The 6,512-nt window shown below is 45.3% G+C and overlaps 1 annotated feature.

Moving 5' to 3' along the window:
• Positions 3,676-3,876: a silencer, noted in NCBI's record as "peak889 fragment used in MPRA reporter construct". NCBI's record gives its function as "represses an SCP1 promoter by STARR-seq MPRAs in K562 erythroleukemia cells {active_cell/tissue: K562}" and the evidence as "EXISTENCE:reporter gene assay evidence [ECO:0000049][PMID:32103011]".

Genomic DNA, 6,512 nt, shown 5'->3' with positions numbered 1-6,512 from the left:
TCTGGGCAGGAGTATTTTTCTAGTGAAAGGGTCCCTAGCTTTCCTCAATTTTCAAAGGTAATTGTGACCTCAGAATGTCTGTGAAGCTTTACACCAAGTAGGTGAAGACACTTGTTGGAAAGGAGGAGGCTGCATAGTATCAGTGTTTCCCAAACTAGTGTGACCTAAGGACTCCTGCGGGGGTGGGGAGGCACCTGCTAATTATAGCTTTCCAGTCCCATCCCAGATTGACTCAATCAGAATCTGCAGGCAAAAGGCCTGGGAATCTGTATTTTACCAAGTACCCCTCTGATGTCGTTTGGAAAATAGAGGACTTGGGCATCTTTAAAATCCATATGTCAGGTTAAACATTTCACAACTCCCGGATTTTTATGGGCCTATTTCTATTGGTAAAGGCCTGCAGTACTCTATTTCTTGAGGGTTGCTAGGAAAATGGCCCCTCAGGGGCTCACTTCTGATGCTTTCAGAAGACGTGGCTCTGAAGTTCCCTGCATCTAATTCTCTTCTCCGGAAAATTCAAATTGAACCATTTTAAAAATCTTGATCCACATTATAATTCATTATGTGAATCTCTAACAGAAAATTAAGACATAAAGGCAACAGCTACCCCTTGTCTAGCATACGGCCTATAGCATGACCATCCTTCTAATTCTGCGGAGAAACATCAGCCCCTGCTCTTTAATTGTTGAGAAAACCCAGAATGGTCCACATATTAAGGAAATAAAATTGTAAAAATCGGTGCATTCCAGATGTCATGAGAAAACAGTGAATCATAAATGAACTGTCCTGCAGCGTTATGTTTTTTCCCAAATAATCTGTCTGAAGTCTAGATCATCTTCCGTTAAATGGCTAATTTGGATTTTTCAAGAGTCAATCTCAGCAGCGCCACCTACTGATAATTTAAATTCAGTACTTTATGTAAATTCTTAGCAATGTACACAGCAAATTAACTCGAAAGAACCTAGAACATGTTTTGGGTTTTCATAAAATAATAGGCATGGTAATATAACTGCCAGAGGAAAAATTTAATGTTTTTGCAGGTGGTGAGCTAGACAATGCCTGCTTCAATTGAGTATGTCTCCAGCATGCTGGCTCTCCTCCACTTCTCTCCCTGTCCTCAATATTTCCCCATCACTCTGTATTCGAGTTGGGTTTGGCCAGTGAGAGGACTGGCAGGAGGCCAAAGGGCAGCAGGAGAAGCGAGGGTGTTGATTCCCTTGTCCCTCTTTCCCACTCACTGTGCCAGTTTCAGCTCTGTCAGTCCATCCCTCCTCCTAGGCCCAGCAATCACTGTACACACTTGCCGCTGAACGCTTGCTCCTTTGGGCCCAGGGTGGTGACAGTTGAGGGTGTCTGTTCCCTTGGCCTTCAGTAAGTAGTTCTTTCAGAAAAGCCTGTCCCCTGAAGCTCCTGAGTGTGATTCTCCAGGGCTCTGGAGACCCAGCTTGCATACGGTGAAGTGGAACTGGCCACCCACTCAACATTTATAAAGTGAATATTGCAAAAATGATTGCTCCTGGTGTAATAGCAGATAATAAAGATTCCATTATTTTCTGCGAGAAGCTTAAATTTACACACATGAAGGGGATTAGGGTTGACAAAAACCATTTTTAAGGGATGTGATTCAGCATAACTACTTAAATTTCTATACACAATTTTATTAATCTTAGGTATTGAATAGGTAGAACTTTGGACCAAGTATGTCTCTATAGTTCCCCGCAGAAGTCTGACCTAGTTTACTACCATCAGGTTAGAACGCTAAGGTTTATTTAAACAATCTTAAATAAGCAAACTAAAAACCTGGAACCAATTCTTTAACCTACACTTAATGTAGACTTCCACATTCTAATGAGACATTCTTACATGCAAATGCTTAATCTGGAGTCCTCCTGTGGGACACGCACACACACATGGAGAGAGAAAAATACAAAATTCTCCATTAGTGCAAGACCCTGGAGAACAAGGACCTGATTCATTCTCCCCTGTGGCCTCCAGCATTCTCAGGAGGGGCTTCCCACACAGCAGAGACTGAATCAATTGTTCAGTGACAAGATGGGAGACAGCACACCATGGCGGACACAAGCACAAAGGTTGCCTAGGTTTGTACCCCAGCTATGCCACCTGCTGGATGAACTTGGGCAAATAATTAATCTCTCTGTGCCTCAGTCTCCTCACCTATGGCAGGGGGTTATTAGTATCATCCTAGTTTCAATGAGTTATTTGAAAAGCACTTAGACTGGTGCCTGTCCCATAGTAAGGACAAGATAAGAGCATGTTGAATAAATAAAGGGATGGTATTTTTCACATCACCTGGAGCCACTGTAGCTGGAAGGGCCTTTAAGAGAGATATAATTTTTTCATTTTATTTTATTTATTTAAATATTTATTTATTTATTTATTTTTGAGATGGAGTTTCACTCTTGTTGCCCAGGCTGGAGTGCAATGGCATGATCTTGGCTCACTGCAACCTTCGCCGCCCAGGTTCAAGCAATTCTTCTGCCTCAGCCTCCTGAATAGCTGGGATTATAGGCACGCACCACCATGCCTGGCTAATTTCTGTATTTTTTTTTTTTTTTTTTTTTTAGTATAGGCAGGGTTTCACCACATTGGCCAGGCTGGTCTTGAACTCCTGACCTCAGGCGATCCACCGCCTCAGCCTCCCAAAGTGCTGCGATTACAGGCACGAGCCACCATAGCCAGCCAATTTTCTCATTTTAGAGATAAGACTGAGGCCTAGAAAAGGTGAATTCAGTAAGCCGCTGCGAAAGGTGTGATCAGCTCACTCCTAGGAAGATCTGCTTGTTGATACACATATTTTATAAATCAATGGGAATAATTTTATCCGACAAAACAAAAATCCCTGCCCCTGACCCTAGGGAATGAAAAAACATGGGCTTCCACCCCTATTCTGGGAAAGGTTTAGTCATAAGTGGATTAACTTTTGTTCCACAAGAAACGACTTTTTGACTTTATTATTACTATCCAACACAACTGTCAAGACCTATGAAGGCAAGCTGAAAAGTCAGCCGGCCACAGTTCCCGGAATGCTGACAGAAGGCACAGAGGCATGGCTCCAAGACAAAGAACTACGCTACTCACAGCGTTAGCAGGAGCCAGAGTATCATTTCCTGTGCCAGTTCCTCAAGCACAGGGAAGATAAGAAGGGCAAGTGACAAGGGCAAAGGCAGTGAGCTGCAGAACAAAACAGGAGCCCTGAGCTCCATCTCTCAGTCTTTCATCACGGTCAGCCTGCCTGCGCTTTGCTCTAAAGAGAGACACTAACTCCATCTTCCAAGGATGTAAACAAACCTGTCCCTTGCTCCAGAAGGAGACGCTATGTGTATCTCCCAAGGTTGTGTGCCATACAAATATCCTGGAAAAGACGGCCTAGAAAAAGCACTGTCATTTTCTCTGCTTGCAAGATGTGCAAGAACTATGGAGGATTATCTCCCAACCATTTCTACCTTTCGCTTCTACATCATTAAGTTTTTGGCAAATTTTTCCATGCATACGCCGATCCGTCAGCCACTATGATTAATCTGTCTGACAGAGGCTGGGGCCCAATCTGTTCCATGGCACATTTAATTAAAACTACCACCAACACACTGCAAGCAGTAGGATAAGGCCAACTTCAACCATGCCCCAGTGGCCTGGACTCAGCCACTTAACTCTCACAAACAATGAGTCTACCTTCAAAAATCAGATGGACCTGAACTTCCTCTCCCTGAAGCAGACCAACGTAGGATGAAAGTAATCATCACCAAGGACAGTCAGCTAATCAGCACCAAAGCCGCATCAGTCAGCATCTGAGAAACAGCTTATTCACGGGACCAGGATACTTAAGTGACACCAACTAAGATTCACTCTCATCAGCAGATTTCCCTTTGGCTAGATTACCTTTTTATCACCTCCCAACATTTTTTTGTTTTGTTTTGAGATGGAGTCTTGCTCTGTCACTCATGCTGGAGTACAGTGGTGTGATCTTGGCTCACTGCAACGTCCACCTCCTGAGTTCAAGAGATTCTCCTGCCTTAGCCTCCCGAGTAGCTGGGATTACAGGTGTGCACCACTGCACCCGGCTAATTTTTGTATTTTTAGTAGTGTCGGGGTTTCACCATGTTGGCCAAGCTGGTCTTGAACTCCTGGCCTCAGGTGATCCTCCCGCTTCGGCCTGCCAAACTGCTGGGATTCCAGGCGTGAGCCACCATGCCCAGCCTTCCTCCCAACTATTTTAGGTTTGGGAGTACATATGCAGTTTTGTTACATGAGTAAATTGTGTCAGGGGTTTGGTGTACATTATTTCATCACCTGGGTGGTGAGCACAGTATCTAATGGGTAGTTTTTCGGTCCTCACCCTCCTCCCATCCTGCACCGTCCTTTTGCTGGATTTCCATAGTTCTCCATGTGCCCCAACCCTTCCGGGCCACGTGTTTTCTATTGCTGCATAACAAATTACTACACATTTAGTGGCTTAAAACCACCTACACTGATTATCTCACAGTTTCTGTGGGCCAGGAATCTGGACAGGGCTTAGCTGAGTCCTCTTCAAGGCTGCGATCAAAGTGTTGGCCAGGGCTGGGTTCTCCTCTGGAGGCTCGTCTTGGGAAGGGTCTGCTTCCAAGCTCAGCCTGCCGGCAAAAGCATGACGTAATGTCAGCAAGGAGTGATGGCCCATCGCATTTGCCATAGTCTATTGGTTTTCAGCAAGACACATGTCCTGCCCATACTCAAAGAAAGGGAATTAAATAAGGGTCTGAACGTCACAAGGAAGGGCTCATGGGGACACACTCCAGAGTCTGTCTGCCACAGACACATTCTTTAGAATCATGACCAGGTCCTAGAAGCCACAGTCCAGTACTGTCCAGGAGAAACAGAACATCAACCATGTGTGGAATGTTAAATTTTCTAGCACCCATATTAAAAAACAGTGAAAAATACATACACTACCATACTATTCTATGGATGCAATGGTTACCATGAAATATAGTCCCACCAAAACAGCTTATGAAATAGCTTACACTGCTGGTTTTTAAGTTTAAATTAATTCAAATGAAATCAGATTTAAAATTCAGTCCCTCAATTGCACCAGCCCATTCCAAGTGCTCAACAGTCCAAATGAACAGTGAGGTCTTAGATCCACCCTCTCTTTAAAGCAGGAGGCAATGCTTCAAATATCCCCTGGGTCAGGCAAAAGAGTGGTGACAAGATGATCTCCTTGACCTCCTAAACCTCTTCTCAGGCTTCGATCTTGGCCACCGTCCTTGCCAGGCCTGCACAGCCCAGTTTTAGCAAGAATCCTGCTAGGTCAGTTTAGAGAGAAGCCCTCCTGCCTTGAGATCTCATCAAATCCCTCGTCCTCCACCCTGGCTATCTGATCACCCTGGCCTGCTCTTAGCAAGAATCCTCTCTATCCCCGAGGTCTCCTCTTAGTGATTTTCCAACCATGAACTACTCCCCTCCACCCTTGGCTGTAAGTCCCCATCTGTCTTTACTGTATTCCACTGAGCCCAGTTCTGGACGCAAGTCTCTTTTCCCTATTGCAATAGTTTCTGTATAAAATCTCTCAGGCCGGGCGTAGTGGCCCACGCCTGTAATCCCAACACTTTGGGAGGCTGAGGCAGGCGGATCACCTGAGGTTGGGAGTTTGAGGCCAGCCTGTCGAACATGGAGAAACCCCACCTCTAGTAAAAATACAAAATTAGCTGGACGTGGTGGCACATGCCTGTAATCCCAGCTACTCAGGAGGCTCAGGCAGGAGAATCGCTTGAACCCGGGAGGCAGAAGTTGCAGTGAGCCGAGATGGTGCCATTGCACTCCAGCCTGGGCAACAAGAGCGAAACTCCATCTCAAAAAAATAATAATAAATGTCTCTTTACTGCTTCAATAAGAGTCCATCTCTGATTCTCCCCAACAGTTGGGAGGGCTCAGTAGCAAACTGGAGACAGCATGGATAGTTGTGGGAACACAGGCCTCACGTTGTTAGATCTGGGATTTTTCTTTTCTTTTCTTTTCTTTTTTTTGAGACAGTCTCACTCTGTCGCCCAGGCTGGAGTGCAGTGGCGCTATCTCGGCTCACTGCAAGCTCCGCCCCCCGGGTTCATGCCATTCTCCTGCCTCAGCCTCCCGAGTAGCTGTGACTACAGGTGCCAGTCACCATGCCCGGCTAATTTTTTGTAGTTTTAGTAGAGAGGGGGTTTCACCGTGTTTGCCAGGATGGTCTCGATCTCCTGACCTCGTGATCTGCCCACCTAGGCCTCCTAAAGTGCTGGGATTACAGGCGTGAGCCACCGCGCCCGGCCTAGATCTGGGATTTTTCAAGGAGCCAAAAGTCTGTATTTTTGGTGGGAAATCACGTAGACATAAAATATCATCTATTCAAAAAACATTTTTTAACTCTCTGCAGGCCAAATAAAACATGTCAGACTGATCTGGCTAAGCCAGCAGAGTTTAACCTCAGCTTTAAGGTACCCATCTCCTACTTTGGTTCCTTCTCTACTATTTTGTCAATTTGA

This window comes from Homo sapiens, chromosome 10 (genome assembly GCF_000001405.40).
Source record: "Homo sapiens chromosome 10, GRCh38.p14 Primary Assembly".
NCBI classification, from domain to species: domain Eukaryota; kingdom Metazoa; phylum Chordata; class Mammalia; order Primates; family Hominidae; genus Homo; species Homo sapiens.
The sequence above is the reverse complement of the archived record's forward strand: the minus strand, read 5'-3'. Positions and strand labels throughout refer to the sequence as shown.